Here is a 19,935-nt window from a genome sequence, read left to right on the forward strand (position 1 = left end):
GGCAGCAACATACCCAAATATTTAGGAGGTTCTGCATGGCATACAAAGAATAAAAGTTTTACAATAAAATTCAACGGAGCTGAGAAAAACACAAGCACATTCAGATGAAAATGAGAATCTCAAAAATTGCCAGTTTTTTCCTAGTATGTCTCCAAATATGGAGGTATTGGAAGTTAGGGAGTGTGGACTATACAGGTAATTAATTACAGAACAGAAGAACAGCTTTAGTGGACCAATGCTCTCAGAAAAAGTGTTTTCTGATTTAAATACATGAAAAGCTCTTTCAGGTAAAATTTATAACAAAATGATGTTGAGACTAAAGAATATAATAGTTTCCAAGGTAACTTAAACCACCAATGGAGAGAAGAAACTTAAAATTCCAAATGTACACTAAAAATACAGACAAATATAAATAAATAATATGTATTTATTTTCTATTACTTCAAAATTAATTACCACAAATGTAGTGGCTTCAAATAACATCTGCTTGTTATATCACATTTCTGCAAGGTAGAAGTCAAAATGGCTCTGCTCAGCCTAGGGTCTCATGAGGTAAAATCAGTATGTCACCAGCCTGGCCGATTCTCAAGTCTCTGGAGGACAGTCCACATCCATTCATTCTGGTTTATGGCAGAATCCATTTTGCTAATCCAGAAATTAGCAGAATGAAATACATACATACATACATACATACATACATACATACATACATACATGTTAATAATCAGACTGTTTATGTAAAAGAGTAAATAAATAAATAGAATCAAAGAGAAATTACAGATAAATAAAACAATCTCATCTGTAAATAGCCAAAACTTTTATAAATTAAATATACTTGTGACATACACACACACACACAGAGACTCAATGAAACATAAAAGAAAGCAGCTGAAATCCAAATATGTTGAGATCAGAGAACAAGTCAATAGATTATTTTAGAATTAATGATAAACTAAAAATGGAAAGTAAATAGTATTTAAAATAGCTGGAAGTTCCCACTAATCCAACAGAGATTTCAGAATGTGAGAAATATAATGTAATTGAAGAAGTGTGAGAATAAATTGAAAAGATACACAGCAAATAGAAAAGTAATAAAATCCCATTGATGAAGGAATACTTAAACCTTTAGGCTGAAAAACTCACGTGGTGACAATACAATAAAATAACTAATACTATTTATATTTTGAGAAAATATTTTCTCTCAGAATAATACCAATCTTATAAACTTTTGCAATCAAGCACACAAAAAGCAGTCAACACTGGTTGTCTAAAAGGTCAATAGAATAAGGTCAGCAAAAGAGTCTCATTTGTAATAAAAGATGATAATAGGAAAAAAGTCAGCATTTTAATGTTTTAGAAATATTCTAAATTTAGAAAAAAAACACTTAGAAAAATGTTTTTATTTAGAATTTTTAACAATAAAAGTGTTTTCAATTATTGAAAAATTTAGAAAGTTTAGGGCTCAATATATCTCTGGAAAATAAGACATTTGATCATTTATCCCAACAAATAATAAACTAAAATATAAAAAGAAGTAAGGCATTTTTTTTTTTTTTTTTTTTGAGACGGAGTCTCGCTCTGTCGCCCAGGCCGGACTGCGGACTGCAGTGGCGCAGTCTCGGCTCACTGCAAGCTCCGCTTCCCGGGTTCACGCCATTCTCCTGCCTCAGCCTCCCGAGTAGCTGGGACTACAGGCGCCCGCCACCGCGCCCGGCTAATTTTTTGTATTTTTAGTAGAGACGGGGTTTCACCTTGTTAGCCAGGATGGTCTCGATCTCCTGACGTCATGATCCACCCGCCTCGGCCTCCCAAAGTGCTGGGATTACAGGCGTGAGCCACCGCGCCCGGCCCGAAGTAAGGCATTTGACATAGAACAAAATTTGAATAATATAAAACTGTATAGGATATAAACTTTTATATTTATTAATAAGATTTCTTCTTAAGGTGGTAGTTGAGACAAGGTTCTTTGAAAATGTAATAGTATTATATATACAATTTATATATACGTAGTATATATACAATGTATATATACACATTATACATACATACTTATATATATACATTATATATACATACACATGCATCATACATACATACATATATACATTATACATACATATATACATTATATGCACATATATGCATAGTATATACATATATACATTATATATGTTATACATTATATATACATGTATATATTATATATGTTATACATTATATATACATATATACATACATCTATACACACACATATATGTATATATAATTTTTGAGATCGAGTCTCACTCTGTCTCCCCAGGCTGGAGGGCAGTACCATCATTGCAGCTCACTGCAACCTCCACCTCCCAGGTTAAAATGATTCTCTTGCCTCAGCCTCCTGAGTAGCTGGGACTACAGGCACACTCCACCACACTCCGCTAATTTTTGTATTTTTAGTAGAGATGGGTTCTCACCATGTTGGCCAGGCTGGTCTTGAACTCCTGACCTCAGGTGAGCCACCCTTCTCAACCTCCCACAGTACTGGGATTACAGGCATGAGCTACCATGCCCGGCCATAATAACATATGAAGTGATACTCACATACATTCAAAATTATATCTACTTCAGCAAAACACAGGAAGCAGTGATACAGTCAAGAGAAAGCCATTAAATTATGCCTAATAATAATTTCTCATGGGTCTGGGTTTTAATTATTGCCTAAGTGTAGACATCAATAGCTTAAAATTTTGCTTACTTAAAAAATGTGGCTGGGCATGGTGGCTCACACCTGTAATCCCAACGCTTTGGGAGGCCAATCACGAGGTCGAGAGATCAAGACCATCTTGGCCAACATGGTGAAACTCCGTCTCTACCAAAAATACAAAAATTAGCTGGGTGAGGTGGTGCATGCCTGTAATCCCAGATACTCAGGAGACTGAGGCACGAGAATCGCTTGAACCCAGGAGGTGGAGTTTGCAGTGAGACGAGATCGCGCCACTGCACTCTAGCCTGGCCACAGAGCAAGACTCTGTCTAAAAAAGAAAAAAAAAAAGCTTAATATTAAAATAATTAAGGGAATGAATTCAGAGAATCAATTAAGTAATTGAGGGCATAATATTGGCCTCCAACTTGAGCAGAACCTAGCCAGTTCTTTATGTGGAAGGTGCCTGAAAACCACCCTGTGTGACGCAATAAGAAGAACATTAAGCTATTGATCAAGCAGACTGTGGAAAGGTGAATGCAGAAGTCATTTGTCATCCTTGGCATTGTGTTAATGGAAGTTTTGTCTACACGAAGAGGACAGACATTGTTCTACCAGAGTAAGGGAAGAACTGGATATCTGAGAGCTAGTCCCGGAACGTGTCCTTTGGTTTCTAGGTCTCAAAGAAGAGTAAATGTTATTCATGAATGCCTTAAACCGGAAGTGCGTAAACGGCATGTGTGAGTGTGTGTGTTTTCCCAGACCACGCAGCATGAAAGCTATTGTTTCTGCTTTTAAAAACGTAGTAGAAATCGGTATCTATAGAGACCTAACTGCCTGCTATGCTTACAAATATTCATATATTTTGAACCCATGATTTCTAAATTGGTATGGTAATTTATAGAATTATAAATGCTAACCAATCTCTTATCATGGTAAAAGGCCACCTTCAGCAAATGTATATACTAAAGAGGATAGCTAAAAGTTGGTGGAATAACACAGATAATCGCATTGTGCAAAAGCATTATTCCTTACTACCCTTTAAATTGAGAAGAAGAAACATACCTGGCTTTTACATTTTCTGGTTAAATAAAATATCATATTTTGGGCTATCTCCAAGATAGCTAACAGATGTGAGGATTATAATAATTGGAGAGTCATGTAAGATCTGGCTGCCATAAATGTCACTGAACAGCTTTTACAACATTATGATAAAATTATATGGCTATACTGTCTAGAGAGACAGTGGTCACCAAATGTGGGTTTTAAAATAGAGAGTAGAGTTTGGCAAGTGGTGGAAAGGGAAGCCCCAAATTCTTCTTTCTCCATGGACACACTGACTCAACAACAATACATGGACTAATTCACTTTGTGAGAAATCTAGAAACCAATTAGGAGAGGCGTCTCCACCTCAGGGAAAAAAACAGCTGCATTCCAGTTGGTAGGAAAATTTGTCACACATACTCATCATCGTTCCTCCTCATGGCTCAGCACAGCAAAACAGGGAGAAAACTCCCAGCTCCTGGCTTCCCCCTTTGAAGGGAATTAGGAGACTGAAACGTCCATTCAATGTATAGACATTTCAGCGGACCCCCTAAAAGATTGGTTTTTGTCTTGCCTGAATCTAAGCATTAATGAAAAAGGACACGATGTTGCAGATCACTGAGAACAAAGGGGTGGTTTGGACTAGTCCAGCACTCACTTGCTATATAGTCCATTTCCCAAGCTCAGCTCAGAATGAGCAAGAGAAAACCCCAACCCTCGGCATCTCCCTGCAGAGGGAAAGAGTTGGAGACTGTGATCAATACTCTGGGTTTCAGAGGGATGCCTGAAGGTCTGGTTTATGTCTCACCTGTCTTGGAGAACTGATAAGACCTGCATACTTTAGAGTCCTGGAGGCCACTAAAAACAAAAGAGAAAAGCTTGCCCCTGCTCCAGGCAACCAACACATGGTATGGTCAGCAGATTATGGTACAGCTCAGTGGCTTATGTCTTAGGAGTCAAAAAGAAGAGTGGAACAGTGGTCCACGTTCTGGCTCTTCAGGAGGCTTCCCAAGGGACTGATTTCTGCCTCATGTGATGCAGAACCCTGAAGAGATACTGCATAATCTAGAAGTCTGGAAGGACCTGAGGTCATAATAAAACTGGGAAGCTTGAGGCAGCTCGATAGAACCTGCACTACCCCAAACAGACACCAGAAAGGACAAGAGATTATTAAACCCTTGAAAAAAGAAACTGACAAACCCCTCTAACTGGGAATTTATATGCACAATTTAGAAAAGACACATCTGCAGAAAATGTTTGAGTATGTACCAAAATCTCCAGCCCAGCTGACTAGTGAAGGTGTTTCCATGGATAAAACCCATCCATAAAAACAAGATAAATGGCTACTTTTTCAAATATGAAGTTCCCAACACAAAGTTACAAGGCACACAAAAAGAAGCAAAGAAACATAGTCCTATCAAATAAACAAAACAAATCTCCAGAAAGTGATCCTAAAGAAACAGAGGTGTATGAATTACCTGATAGTTCATTAAAATAGTCATAATAAAGATCATCAACAAGCCAAGGAAAACAATAGATGGACTGAGATTTCAGGTGCTAATCTTGTGGCTGGAGACAATTAGTGGTGTTCTATGTGGACTAAACCTTACTAGCTTGAATATAAAAATAATAATAATGGAAGGTAGCATGTTATTTTGTATACATTTTTTGAAAGAAACATTGAAATTTGGACAAATTAAGCAGCCCTTCTTATCTTCATTTTGACAAAGTGTTGCTGTAAACCATGTATAACAGCTTGCAGGAGCATAGGCTACTTTGTACAAACATTAGAAGTACTGAAAAATAGGCCAGGCACGGTGGCTCACGCCTGTATTCCCAGCCCTTTGGGAGGCTGAGGCAGGCAGATCGCCTGAACTCAGGCATTGGAAACCAGAGTGGGCAACACGGTGAAACCCTGTCTCTACTAAAATACAAAATATTAGCCGGGCATGGCGGTGTGCGCCTGTGGTCCCAGCTACTCAGGAGGCTGAGGCAGGAGAATTGCTTGAACCTGGGAAGGGGAGGTTGCAGTGAGCTGAGATCAAGCCACTGCACTCCAGCCTAGGTGACAGAGTGAGACTCGGTCTCCAAAAAAAAAAAAAAAGAAGTACTGAAAAATGCCCTGAGGCAGTGTACCTTCTTCATTAAAACTCGAATTAAAAATGTCAAAATTAACTTGTAACTCCTTTAAAATTATATACTTTTTACTTGCTATCCCAAACTACTATGTGAATTAAGAGGTCAAATATATGTGTGTGGCCTGATTATTATTATTTTTTATCAGCATGATAGGATATATTTTCCACAACAAATTTATTACAGCTGGTGTAACAGTGAAAATATAAATGACACTACATTTCTGGAATTACATAAGAAGATAACATTAAGGAATATAATAAAAATCTTTATCAGTATTAATGGAAATAGCAATATTCAGACGTAATAGCAAGGTCTCTGATCATCCATGAAATAGCAAATTGTTTTTGTGCTTCTAATTAAATTTCATTCACATATTCTTATAAGTAACAGTACTTACTTTCTAACTCACCTTCAAAAGAAAGAAACTCTGAGAATATTTAACATATGGACCTGATCAATTAATCAAAGCATACTTTTGTGCCAACTTTCCATAGTTATTCACTACATGGCGCTTCAGTTCCCCCAGTATTGATCATGTTATAAGATTGTTGTAAGAATTTGTGAGTTTTTTGTAAAGTGTGTAGTGAGCTTCAGAGTTGCTCCAAACTCAAACGTTATTACTATAATGTATTTTATATGTTAAAAATTGTCCTTATACATTATTATCTGTGATGTATGGAAAATTTGTAAAAATGCATAAGATTGAGAGTGTTGGTAACCATTAAATATAAAGTGATCAACAAAGTACATAAATACACAATCATGGAAATAATAAAAATATATAACAAATATAAAGCATATGCTTATTTTTATATTCTGATAAGATGGAATGTTTATAAATTGAAAACATGTTTTAAAATATGCTGTACATGTATGAGGAGTTTAAAATATAGACACAGTTCTTCATCTTTGACAGAGTAAGCCAATAGTAGAGCATTGTTTCTAATGAGAAATGGACAAATATACCATACATACATTTTTTCCAGCAGAAATTGTGCAAAAGGATTAAAAACAGTGATTGTCAACCTTATTCATTACTAAGAATATTTTCATCTTATGAAATAAGTACAAAATTAAAGTATTTATTTATTATTTTTGTAGAGACAGGGTCTATGTTGCCCAGGATGGTTTTGAACTCCTGGCTTTGAGTGATCTTCTTGCCTTGTCCACCCAAAGTGCTGGGATTACAGTCATGAGCCACAACGCCTGGCCTTTATGGTCATGTTTTAAAAGCGTATTTACTACTTTGCAATGTTACCATATACTGTTAAGTAGAAAAACAGGCTACACAACTAAACTCAAATTTTATGAGGAAATACATTTGCATTCATACCCTTTATATCTCCTGTAGCCAAAGACATTCTTCTTGGTATGTCTCTTTCTGAAGCAGAGCCTGCCTAGAATGCATCATATATCACTGTTCTCTATCTATCTGACTCATTTGCTTTGTCTGTGACTTTCGCTGCTCTAGGTTTGCAGATCCCAATAAAGCGTTGCCAGTTTATATCTCCTATCTCTTTCTCTACCTCTCACTCTCTTTTGTTCTTTCTGTTGTGCGCGCGCGCGCGCGCGCGCACACACACACACACACACACACACACACACACAGAAAATGATTGGAAAAAAATTTACTAAAGACATGAGTATTTGACCCTAGGCTTTATTTTCTTATTATTTAAAAAAATAGTTGTGAACATTTTGAATATACTATTTCTATGTAGAGGACTATATTACATTTTAATGTAATATATTGTAATACTTGTCAAATTTAAAGAACTAGAAGGCTTAAAATAGGCTACATATCTAAAATAATCAGAAAAGGGGAGACACACAAAAACACAGAAACTATCAAATGAACTCCAAATCACACTGTTTTTGACCCTAAAGAAAAGCTCAAGTGGTAATGCTTTCTTGAGAGTTGCAAACCTAGAGCAGTGACTGTCTTAGACAAAGGATATGAGTCAGGGATGGATAGGGAGCAGTGGTACATGTTGCATTCCAGGTAACCACTGCTTCAGAAAGAGACGTAGCAGTACTCTTCAGCCAAGCTGGTTGTCTTTGGTCAAAAGCAGAGAAACAAGGTGTGCCCCTTTTCTTTGGAGAGCAGAATGAAGAAGATACTTTTTAAAGTTTCTTTCTATCTCCTACCTCTATCGGTCAGTATGATCATCAGGGAGTTGATGTTTCTGCAATTTTGTGTCATATCAGTTTCCCTTTATAGCTGCTGGGAAGTTACACCCTGGTCCTTGCATGTGGTGCATCATCAGATTCTGCAAATCATTGGAGTATCCAGACTTGGAGCGATGACCCTACATAAAGGAAGCAGGTAGACCCGAAATTAAAGGTCACCTAATGGGAAAAGAGTCAGAATAAATTAAGACAAGGTAATTTAAGGCAGTGCTTATATGACTCTAATACATACACAAAAGTCAAATATTTCAGCTAAAACATGAAGCTACAAAGAAAGAGAGAGCTTCTTGGCCATAATGCTATAATTTTTTTTTTTTTTTTTTGAGACGGAGTCTCGCTCTGTCGCCCAGGCTGGAGTGTGGAGTGCAGTGGCGCGATCTCGGCTCAGTGCAAGTTCAGCCTCCCGGGTTCACGCTATTCTCCTGCTTCAGCCTCCCGAGTAGCTGGGACTACAGGCGCCCGCCACCATGCCCGGCTAATTTTTTCTATTTCAGTAGAGACGGGGTTTCACCGTGTTAGCCAGGATGGTCTCGATCTCCTGACCTCGTGATCCGCCCGCCTCGTCCTTCCAAAGTTCTGGGATTACAGGCGTGAGCCACCGCGCCAGGCCCATAAAGCTGTAATCTTTAACCATAATACAAGAGTAGAGAATGAACATTGAAAAAATGTCTCAAACTGGATTAAAAACACTGCATTATATTTTTCTTGCATAGCTATAAAGAAAAACCTGAGACTGGGTAATTTATAAAGCAAAGAGATTGCAGTGGCTCACATTTCTGTAGGCTGTATAGGAAGCACGGTGGCATCTGCTTCTGGGGAGGCCTCAGGAAGCTTACAATCATGGTGTAAGGTGAAGGGGAAGCAGACACATCACATGGCAAAATCGAGAGCAAGAAAGAGAGGGGTGGGGGTGCCACACACTTTTTAATGACCCGATCTCGCAAAAACTCACCCACTATCACAAGGACAGACCCAAGAAGATGGTACTAAGCTATTCAAGAGAAATCCACCCCCATGATCCAATCACTTCCCACCAAACCCCACCTCCGACATTGGGGATCACAATTCAAAATGATATTTGGGTGGGGACACAGATCCACACCATATAAAAACCCCTTCTACATAACTTTCCTGTCAAAGGATAACCAGTAAAGGAACATAAATATAGTGATTGGGAAAGTTTGATCAATAAGACCTATTAGGGTTTATTAATTATGTTTATTAATAAATATTATTAATTTTATTTTAAATTTTATTTAATTAATATTAATAAATAATATTAATTAGGTTTCTTAATAAACCCTACTAAGTTTTATTGATCAATCTTCCCCAATTAATTAATATAACCCTAATATATGTTATATTATGGTTTATTAAGGTTTATTAGTTAGGTTTATTAATACATCCTAATATAATATATATTAGTTTATTAATATATATAAATAAACCCTAATATAAAAACAGGCTGGCTATTCAGGGATAGCAGTTCAATAATCTTCCTTGGTGTGATTTCTTTCATGTTTCTTGTGCTTGGTGTTCTTTGAGAGTTCCAGAGAATACATTTGAATTTGTAGCTTTGATCAAATTTGGACAATTTTGGCCATTATTCCTTTAAATAATTTTTCTGCCTCCCCCTCTAATGTCCCCATTTGAGAATCCAATTGTAAATGCACATTAGGCCATTTGAAGACATGGCCCACTGCTCATGGATTCTCTGTTTATTATTCTCCATTCTTCTTTTGGTGATGAATTTTGGATGGGCTTCTCTTGCCGCATCATTATGATAGCTCATTTTCTGTGGTTTATTATTTGCTGTTAATCTGAAGCGGTGTATTTCTCACCTCAAATATTGCAGTTTTTATCTCTAGCAATTGTATGTGTTTCATATGTATCTTCCAGATCTATACTGATCATGCTCAACTTCCATCCAGTTTGAACAAATCAGACAAGACTAGACATTTTAACATGTTTCACTTTGAGTCTGTGTCAAATTATTTACATTTTTCCTCATATGGGTTATATTTTTTGGCTTTTTTGCATGCCAGATAAGTTATTATTAGATGGTAAATATTGTAAATTCTTCCTGGTTAGATGCAGAATATTTCTGTATCCCCGTAAGTACTATGGAGCTTTGTTCTGCCATGTGGTTAAGTTGCTTGGAAACATTCATTTGAGTTGAGGCTTGCTTTTAAAGTTTTTTAGGTGATTCCACAACAGACTGTCATCTAGGGCTATTCACTTCAGCTGAAGTAAGATCCTTCTGAATGCTCTATCTAATGACCATGAATCATGAGCATTTTAAAATCCTTTCTAATCCTGATGAGGGCGGTTCTTTCCATCGCCCAGGGTCGTTTCCTCACATTCCTGGATTGATCTGTACACTGCTGAATACTTGATGGGAACCCTCTATGAATCTTTGGATATTTCTCTCTGTGTATGTCTCTCTTTTCTGGCACTCTGCCTTGCAACTTTTAAGTATATTGTTTTCCTATACTCAACCAATATCACCTCACCTCACTCAGCTCCAAACTGAATTCCTATCCAGGCTGTGTGCTCTGGAAATATTCACAGAGCATTAGGCTGGGGCAATTGTGGGGCTCACCTTGTTGTTTTCCATCTTTTAGAATTCACTGTCCTCCATTGCCTAGTAGACAATATCTTGAAACTATTGCAATTTTTCCTCTATTCTCTATTTTATATTATTTATTTTAGTGATCATAGAATTTAGACTGTCATGAAAGCCGAATAATGTGGCATATTTTTTAATCTCTAATAAAAATACTTTGACTGAAATGCATTTGTTAGCCCATTGCCCTTCATTAATACAGAAAATCTTGTTTTCCATAAAATAATATTGTCAATGTCATCATTCCTAAAATTTTTCCTATTCTCTTTATGTGGACCAATGGGAAGAATTTCACAAAGTATATCAGCATAACAAATAATGAATATTTGGACTCATTTCTGTAATTGGACCGGCGTTGGCATACATAATAATTTATGTGATTTTTTAACCTAAAACTATGGGTCTAAATGTGTAATTTGACAGCTCTGAAAGGGTAATTTCGCTAGTAATCTCTTAAATTTATCTTATTTCTTTAGTTACTATTGTCCTTTTGTCCAAATAGACCAAAATGGAGTGGTAGATAGGTAGGTATGTTGGTAGCTATCTGCCCTTTCCTGACTTTTCTAAACTGAATTATTTTGCTTGCCTGCTTCAATATTTCCCACTTGATACTTTTAGACATATTTAGTTCTATATAATTAATCTCTTGTATGCTCACCAATGGAATCTGCCAGAATTCTCCTACCCTAACAGATTTTTGGATTTGGCTTCCTTTACATAGCCATATCCTGCTGCTTCTCATCCCTATGTCTGACCGCGGCAGTGCCCTGAAAAGTTGTGCCAAATGATGAGCTGACGGGAGAATAATTAAAGTCATTCAATTATCAAGTGTTTATGGAAGATCAACTATGAGCCAGGAACTGTGCTGCATTATGGAGATACGACAGTGAACCTGACAGATACCAAATCTGCCTTCTCAAATATCTAGTGTCAGAATGCATTGCTTTGAATTTCCTCCAAGAAAGTCTAGCCAGAGTAAATGCAATAGACTCTTCTGACATAGGAAAAAGTACGACATGTTCTTTAATTGTTTTACCCTAAGTATCTCAAAAAATACAATGACAAAATTTACATCTAAGAACATAAATTGATATGTATAATAATGTTATTTTTAAACTTTTAATAATTTAAGCAACAAGCCTCTCATTCAAATGGATAATTTATTGGAAAGGAAATCAGGCACAGTTATTAGAAATAAATAACTTGTGATTACTCAAGTTTAAACAAAAATATTAATGTCACAGCTTCAGTAGATTGACTAATCATCATCTTAAACTATATAGAGATACAGGGGAGATGAAATGAAAATTGGAACAGATAGGTTTGAGGTAGGAGGAAGGCAGGCAGAAGAGTAAACGTAGACAGGCTATTATTAAGTTCTGGATTGCTGTAGGGTTGACAAGTTCAGAGAGTAATCTTAAAACTTTAGAATTCTGATAATTTATTTTTGTTCCTCAACTGAGAGGGAGATTCAAAAAGGAGGTATCAGAAAGTGAGGCAAAGTTTAAAATTTAACCTATTTTATTGGCCTTGGTAGAAAATATTATATATTTTTGACTAAAAAATAATAATACATTTGGATTTTATTTTACACTTAAACATCCACTTTCACAAATAATTACAAAAAATTATAATGTTCACAGTAACAGCTAACGATACTTATCTGCAAGGAAAGTAAAACAGAATATGATATCATGAAAAATAGTTCATTATATAAGTGGAATTAAATGTAATAGATGTATAACATCATATATTTCCATATGTATATTTAATTATGTACATTTCTATATATATGAAGATGTATATACTATTACATATATATTATATAGCATACAATTTATATATGAACAGATATGTTCCATTGTTCTAAAATACATATGTAATCATATAGTCTTAAATTTCCATTCTTCCCAAACCCACATGTAACCAACTCTCAGCCATTTGTTAATTCAATCACTGTTTATTGACCTATGATACTCCAGTTATTGTTTCTGGTTGTTAGACCGAGTGTTGAATAAGAATGAATCATCTCTATACTCATAGATCATGCATTATAGAAGGAAAGAGAGATGTAACACATGCACATAAATACCAATTAATAGCCTTTTATTTTGAACAAATGGGTGAAATGGGCAAAACAATATTCTCACTTTATTTTGAAATAGAGACTTTTTACTCATAATTTTTAAAGACTTCAAAGCAAATATTTTTAGAAATGACAATTATTTGTCTCTAAAGTTGGTGATACTCTTTGTGAAAGAAATAATTTTATTCCTCTATTAATTTAATATTGGTCTGCATCAGAATGTGCTTTTTTTCTAGTTCTTTTTTTATAAATATTTATCAAAAATATTAGATAACAAATGAACTTTTATTTTTCCATGTTCCTCTTATGACATAATGTTACAAGATTGAATATCATTGTCTTTGTTCCATGCAGTTTCCATTTCTGCCACTGAAGTTCTTAAGCAAAATAGCAAAGTACAAAATTGGTGATTGATTGGTTATCTGTTGGACATGATAAAATAAAGTTAGTCAAATGAGATGACACTCTTCCATGATGTTTTCTTGGTGTTTTTATTTTTTAAGAAAATGTGCACATTAAAAAATATACTTCACTGAATTACCTGAAATTAAGCACATGATTTGAACCACTAAAGATGAATGCATAAGAAAGTAATTGTTCCTGATGTTTAAACAATTTTATGCTGTGTTTTATAGCATTCAAACATGAGTTCTGGGAAAATAAAACAGGACTGGTGAGAGGAATCATGGTGCCGATAGACAGGAGTAAACTGATTCAAGTTATTGGGCAAAGATGCCCTCGATGCTAGAGATTTGGATTTGATAGACATAGTAATAAAAATAGAAATACAGTGGTATAAAATCTACCTAAAAGGGGCAAAATCAAGATTGCTGACTAGTTGCTGGTAGTGTGTGTCTTCTCCACAGAGAAGAGCCAGAAGAGTAAGCAGATACATTTTGAAAAAATCTTCTAGAAGAGAAAGCTTGGCTTCACGGGAAAAGGGACAGAAAACATCAGAATAAGGAAGGAGAGTTCAAGGCACCTTACCCAGCCAGGAAAATGCTGAGAGCTGGGAGAAGCTTCTGGACATGGGGAAACAGAAAGAAAGAAATCCCTAGAGGTCAAAAACTGGCTTTTATCATCTTGTATACGGGAGAAACCCTTAGACAAACCAAGCTTGCTAAAGATTGCACAGAGACATTGCTCCAGGTTGGGAACCCACACAGAATCCCACAGGCATCTGAGCCTGGAGCAGCCTCAGCTGGGACCCATCTTGAGAACTTAGTACTGGGGACCTATAGACACAGCTGCAGCTGCTGCACTGCCCCAAGGAGGGAGATGAATGAAGGCACACATCCACGCAGCCCTGGGTGGATACTTGCCATCCTGCTGAGCTGCTGTTGAGACTGAGATGTAAGCAACCATGCTACCCACAGTTTCTTCCATATACTGCTTGCCTAGGTGGTGCCTCACCCTCTCTAGCCGCAGGCTCAAGGCATCATTTGAGAGATTAATGCTAATCTGAACTCTGCCTTGGACTCAGTTCAGGTTGACATGACTGCAGCAATTGCCCAGCCAAGGACTGAGAGGGAAACCAGGCTACTACACACATATCTAGGACAATACTCACTGCCCTGCAATGGGCTGCTGTGAGACTGAGATGTGATCAGATCACAATACCCACAATGTCTTGCCTACACTGCCTGCCTAAGCAGCATCCCTCCCCAGCTGGTTGCAGGCCCAAGGTGTGATTTTGAGAGTTTAATTCTGAGCTGCACCCCACCCTTGGCCTGAGTTTGGGCTGATGTGGATGCAGATGCCAGCCAGCCAAGGAGGGGCAGGGAACCTCGGTGTTTCCATGCATACCTAGGGCAATATCTAATGCCCTGGTAGGGTCTGCTGTGAGACCAAGACTAGAACAGACTGCACTCCCCGCAGTTTCCTGACCAAGTTGCTTACCTGAGAGGGGTGCCACCCTTTCTGGTCATAAACCCAAAGTAGGCATTATTTTGAGAGTTTGGAGCCATTGTTTGGCTACGTGCCAGTGGTGAACACAGCAAGTCATTTAGTTTTGGGCCAGAGATGGGAATACTTGCTCTGGAATGGGAGAAAGGCACCCACATCTGGAATTAAGTGGAGAGTATAGAAAGTCTCCCAGCAGTAGACACAGGAATTAGGCTCTCTCCTATCACAGGACTGGAGTGGGAGGAGAATTGCTGAAACCAAGGCTTCTCTTGGGCAGTGACACTTGCAACCAGTGACAGCCTTGTGACTTGGAACTGATCTGAGTGTGTCATTGATAGGTGCCTCAGCCTGCTCTCTTGGTCAGTCGGGGAATATTCCCCCACCAGCTCTGAGGAGCGGGAGGGAGGTGGACCACACTTGTGGAGGTCTAAGGGAAGCATAGCCCAGCAAAGCCTACTTTGGGTCAGTAAAAACAAGAGTACAGTGCCAGCCATTGAAGGTGGCACCACTAAAGTATGGGAACAGTTATGGAGAGGGGGTCATCTCTTGCTCCCTCAATCCTCTCCTCAGTGTTTTGTCATGGACTCAGCAGCAGCTCTTCACACTGGGGTCTAGGGAGCATGTGCTGACGGAGTCCACTTCTCAGGTTTCTCCAGTGGCTCCAGACCCACTGAAGGTGAATGTATACTGGGGGAGAATGCTTCTGACACTTATCCATTGCTTCCATCCATACCCCTACCTATCAGCTCTTATTCTTAAGTACTGTCTGCTAGACTGCAACCTGAACCACACCACCAAACACAATTACTTTGCTACAATGAGCAATGTCTGAGAAAGCCACTGCATGAACCTATCTGCAACCAAGAAACCTGGACAGAGCCGTGACACCCTGACACATCTAGAAATAAAGCCATTCCATGACACATGATATACACAACCGTCATACCCTGAAGTGAAAAGAGAATAAAAACTCAAGAAGTTCCATCCAAGTGATTGCAAATTATAAATAAATAAATAAGTGTCGGCTTTCTCAGAGGAGGAAAAACTAGTACAAGAACTGTGGCAGTACAAAACGCCATGGTGTTTCATCACCTCCAAAGGATCCCACTAGCTCTCAAGCAATGGATTCTAACCAGAATAAAATGTCTGAAATGACAGATATGGAATTCAGAATTTGGATGGCAAAAAAGCCTCAATAAGATCCAAGAGCAAGTAAAAATCCAAGGCAAAAAGCAAGAAAAATGATCCAAGATTTAAACGACAACATAGGTATGAGGAAAGAACCAAAAAGAATTTCTGGAATTGAAAAATTTACTACAGGAATTTCAAAATACAGTTGGAAGCCTTAAAAACAGACTAGACCAAGAAGAAGAATTTCAAAGCTCAAAGACCAATCCTTCAAATCAATCTAGTTGGACAAAAATTTAAAATAAAGAACTAAAGAAATAAACACAGCTTTTAAGAAATGCAGGATTATGCAAACCAAGCAAACCTACAACTTATTGGCAGTCCTGAGAGAAAAAAGAAAATAATTAAGTGACTTGGAAAACATATTGAGGATATGATTAAGGAGAATTTACCCATTCTTGCTGGAGAGGTCAACATGCAGATACAAAAATCCAGGGAACTCCAGTGAGAAACTATAGAAGATGACCATCTGTGTATTAGCTTATTCTTCTGTTACTATAAAGGAATACCTGAGACTTGGTTATTTATAAAGAAAATATGTTTGCTTGGCTCACGGTTCTGCAGGCTGAACAGCAAGCATGGCTCCAGTATTTTCTCAGCTTCTGGTGAGGCCTCAGGATGGTTGTAATCATGGCAGAAGGTAATGGGTAGCCAGCATGTCAAATGGCGAGAGCAGGAGCAAGAGAGAGAGGAAGAGGCTGCCATACACTTTTAAACAACCAAATCTTACACAGACTAACTAATCACCAAGTCATTCATGAGAGATCTGAACCCATGATGAAAACACCTCCTACCAGGCCCCATCTCAAACACAGGGGGTTACATTTCAACATGAGATTTGGAGGAAACAAATATCCAAGCCATATCATTCCTTAAAGTGCATAGTTATCAGAATATTCAAGGTCAATATGAAAGAAAAAAAATCTTAAAGGCATCTAGCGAAAAGGGTTATGTAATGCATAAAAGAAAAACCATCAGATTAACAATGGACTTCTAAGCAGAAACTTTATAAGCCAGAAGATATTGCGGGTCCATATTTAGCATTCTAAAAAAAAAAAAAAGAAAGAAAAAGAAAAAGAGGCTAGGTGTGGTGGTTCACTCTTGTAATCCTAGCACTTTGAAAGACCAAGGCAGGTGGATTGCTTGAGCTCAGAAGTTTGAGATCAGCCTCTGCAACATGGCGAAACTTCATCTGCATGGAAAATACAAAAAATTTCTGGGCATGGTGGCATGTGCCAGTAGTCTCAGCTACTTGGGGGGCTGAGGAGGGAGGATGGCTTGAGCCCAGGAGGTTAAGACTGCAGTGAGCTGAGATTTGCACCACTTCACTCAAGCCTGAGTGACAAAGTGAAAGCCTGTCAAAAAAAAAAAAAAGAAAGAAAGAAAAAGAAATGTTAGTCAATAGTTTCATATGCTACCAAACTAAGCTTCCTAAACGAAAGAGAAATAAAGTACTTTCCAGACAAGCAATCTCTAAGGGAATTTGTCACCATTATACTGGCCTTACGAGAGATGCTAAAGGGAGTTCTAAACATGGAAACAAAAGAATGGCATTGCTATCATAATAGCACATGCAAGCACATAGCTCACAGAATCCATAAAACAACAATACAATCAAGACTGCAAAGCAACTAGCTAATAACACTATAACAGGAACAAATTCTCACATAGCAATATTTATTTGAAACATATAGTCTAAATTCTTCACCTAAAAGACATAGAGTGCCAAATTAGATTAAAAAATGGCCATCCTTCTTCTGTCCTTTAAAAGACCCATCTCACATGTGATGACACCCACAGGATCAAAGTAAAGAAAGGGAAAAAGTTATATCGTGGGAATGAAAAACAAAGAAAAGTGCAGGGGTCACTAGTTTTGTATCGGATAAAGTATACAGTAAACCAATAATAGTAAAAAAGAACCCAAAAAAGGGTATGACATTGATAAAGTATTCAATTCAACAAGAAGACTTGACTATTCTAAGTATGTATGCACCCAACATTGGAGCACCCAGATTTATAAAACAATTACTTCTAGGTTTAAGCAAAGACTGACAGCCACACAGTAATAGTGCAGGACTTCAACACTGCACTGACACCATTACAGAGATCATTGAGGCAGAAAACCAAGACAGAAATTCTGTCTTAAAACCAAGACTTAAAATTCTACATTTGATCACTTGGACGTAATAAAGAAGACTCCACCAACAACCCTAAAATACACATTATTCTCATCTTCGCATGGGACATACTCTAAGATTAACCACATGCTAGGTCATAGAGTCTCAATTATTTCCAAAAAAAAAAAAAAATTGAAATCGTCATCTCAGACCACAGTGGAATAAAAATAGAAATCAATAGCAAGGGAAATGCTCAAAGTCGCAAAGTACATTGAAACTAAGCAACTTGCTCCTGAATGACTTTTGGGTAAACAATGAAATTAAGAGAGAAATTTAAAAATTCCTTGAAATAAATGAAAAGGAGACAAAACACACCAAAACCACTAGGATGCAGCAATAGTAGTCTTAAAATGAAAGTTTCTAACACTAAATGCCTATGTCAGGAAGATAGAAAGATATCAAATTTCAGCTTACCAACACACCTAAAGTTGTTCTAGTAAAATAAGAACAACTTATTTTACTTAGTTAACAAAGTTAGCAGAAGAAAGAAATAACCAAAATCAGAACAGAGCTAAATGAAATTGAGATAAAAAAAAAATACAAAGATTAATGAAACCTAGCCTACTGAAAAAAGTGAAACCAAAACTACTGAAACTATTCCCAAAAATCAAGGAGGAGGGACTGCTTCTGGATCCATTCTCTGAACTAGTATCTCCTGATACAAAAATCTGACAAATAAAAAAGAGGACATTTTTTTCCTTGAAGAAAATAGACATAAAAAATTAAAAAAAAAGAAAAGAAACCACTACCAATCCAAATCCAGCAATAAATGAAAAAGTTAATTCATCCTAATCAATTGGGCTTTAGTCTTGGGATGCAAGGATGATTCAACATATGCAAATCAATAAATGTGATTCACCACATAAACCAAATTAAAAACAAAAACCCTGTAATCATCTCAATAGATGCAGGAAATGCATTTGATAAAATCCAATATCCCTGATGATAAAAACCTTTAACAAACTAGGCATCAAAGGAACATAGCTCAAAATAATAAAAAGACATCCATGACAAACCCATAACCAACATCATACTAAATAGGCAATAGTTGGAAGCATTCTCCTTAAGAACTGGAACAAGATAAGGATACCCATTCTCACCATTTCTATTCAATATAGTACTGGGAGTCCTATCTAGAAGAATTAAGCAAGAGAAAGAAATAAAAGACATTTAAATAGAAAAAGAGGAATTAAAATTATCTTTCTTCACAGACAATGATTCTATACCTAAAACACCCAAAAATTGTACACAAAAGACCTGATATATGACTTCAGCAAAGTCTCGAGATACAAAATCGTTGTACAATATCAGTAGTATTTCTATACCCAATAACATTCGAGCTAAGAACCAAATTGAGAACACAATCTCATTTAAAATAGCCATAAAATTAAAACGTCTGTGAATACATCTAGCATAGATGATGAAAGGCGTCTATAAGACAAGCTTTCGACACTGTTGCAAAAAATCACAGATGACACAAACAAATAGAAAAGCTTTCCATGCTCATGCATTGGAAGAATCAATATTGTTAAAATGTCCATACTGCTCAAAGCAATCTACAGATTCAATGCTATTCCTACTACCAACCTAATTCTTTACAAAATTAGACAAAAATATTCTAAAGATTGTATGGAACCAAGACAGAGCTGAAATACACAAGGGAAGCCTAAGCAAAAATAACAAAGCCTGAGGCAACACATTACCTGACTTCAAACTATACTATAAGGCTACAGTAACCAAAACAGCACGATACTGAAAAAAATTGATACATAGACCAAAGAAGCAAAATAAATAACCCAGAAATAAAGCCACAAACCTACAACAAAAATAAACCACTGGGGAAGGGTTCCCTATTAATACATGGTGCTGAGAAAGCAAGCCAATCATATGAAGAAAAATG

This window comes from Homo sapiens, chromosome 5 (genome assembly GCF_000001405.40).
Source record: "Homo sapiens chromosome 5, GRCh38.p14 Primary Assembly".
Lineage (NCBI taxonomy): Eukaryota > Metazoa > Chordata > Mammalia > Primates > Hominidae > Homo > Homo sapiens.